At 39.6% G+C, this 1,656-nt stretch overlaps 1 non-coding gene across 1 annotated transcript; it reads right to left on the bottom strand.

The window, feature by feature from the left end:
• Positions 1-201: 201 nt before the first annotated feature.
• MIR4652 (microRNA 4652) lies at positions 202-279 on the bottom strand. Its single transcript, NR_039796.1, has one exon. It is a non-coding gene; the product is annotated as a microRNA 4652 (primary transcript).
• Positions 280-1,656: the final 1,377 nt, after the last annotated feature.

Below are 1,656 nucleotides of genomic sequence, written 5' to 3'. Positions count from 1 at the left end.
TGGAAACAATATGCTGACCATTTCTTTCACTTCGTAATCCTTCATCACATAGTCTCCCTTCAGAAGGTCTTCTCAACCACCACTGACATTGATTGCAAAGATTTTTAAAATTCTCATCACTTTTTCTCTCTGGTCTGACACTAGGGGACTGCTTGTTTGGCCTTACTCAGCCTAGTTGAGCTTATATTGAGGTTTATACTCTATTAGATGAGGGGATGGGTTAACAGAACAAAATAGTTCTGGTTAGTTAGTTCTATTAACCAGTCCCCTCGTCCAATAGAGTCAAACGATTCTGAATCACTGTTGGCCATTATCACTCTCATCACTACTCCAGTCTGACCAACTTTTGCATAGTTATATATATAGTATGTAACTTAGTTATCTAAAGTATTATATATATAATATTATATATATGCATATATAGATAGATAGATAGAGAGAGAGAGAGAGAGTCTTTCTCAGTTGTCCAGGAGTACAGTGGTGTGATCATGGCTCACTGAGGCTTGGATGTCCAGGCTCAAGCGATCCTCCCACCTCAGCCTCCTTCCTGGGTAGCTGGGATTACAGATGTGTGCCATCACACCTAGCTAATTTTTAGTAAAGACAGTCTATGTTGCCCAGGTTGGTCATCAAGTTCTGAGCTCAAGGGATATTCCCACCTTGATCTCCCAAATGCTATGATTACAACAGGCCTGAGCCACTGCACCTGGCCGCAAAGCAATCTGTAATTGTTACAGCTTACCCTGTGAGGTGTAAAGTTGAATTGGAGGTGGGGAAGAAGCATCTCTGACAATACCCCACAGCTTTGTGTAATCCCACAGCTTCTTGCACAAGAGCTTGCATATAGCTGGAGTTCAAGAAATATTTGTGGATTGGATGGATGTACAAATGAATGACAGTAAAGAGGCTACATCTGACAAGGGAGGAGGAAGCTGGGCAATGAGGATCCAGGGGACACCAGTAGGGAGGTACGGATAAATCTTTGAGATGGGAGAAAGGAGAGGCTGAAAGCGATAAGGATATAGGAAGCCCGATGCAGGCAGAGGACAGAATCCAAAGAGTTGCACACAATGCAGGTGTGTAAATGTGGACATTTAACAGGGATGGCATATTTAAAGTGGTATATTTTGAGATTTTCACTTGTTTTCTTTTCACTACCAACAAAGCTGAGTGTAATGATTAATTCTTGAAGATGTCTAAGCCAGGAAAGGGAAAAGAAAGTATTCATAACTGTCAAACAATGAATAATGGACATTTATTTGACAGTTCTTGAACATTAAAATTGAGCTAAGTTCTACATTATAATATGAAGTAGTTATAATAGGCATATAATATGTTTCCAAACATTATATGCCATTACTATGATGTGAAAATAATACCAAAGATCAGTACTTTCAACACCTGAATCACTTTGTGGTTGCAGTGCGGCAATTCTATGTACTGATTGTCTCTGAGTTTTTAACAGTGTAAGATGGTATAAAAGTCATCCATGATATCTGTAGTATTATCCAACTGTGTGTCTCACCAGCTGTGTAACTTCAGGTTAGTCCTCACTACCTCTCTGGGTTTAAATTTCCTAATCTTAAAATGAGGTCCAAGCTGGAAAATCCATCAAGTTCCTTTCTGGTCTAGCATTCATTGATTCTAGGATGTAAG

This window comes from Homo sapiens, chromosome 7 (assembly GCF_000001405.40).
Source record: "Homo sapiens chromosome 7, GRCh38.p14 Primary Assembly".
Classification (NCBI taxonomy): Eukaryota; Metazoa; Chordata; class Mammalia; order Primates; family Hominidae; genus Homo; species Homo sapiens.
Note: the sequence above shows the minus strand (reverse complement) of the source record. Positions and strands in the feature narration are given on the sequence as shown.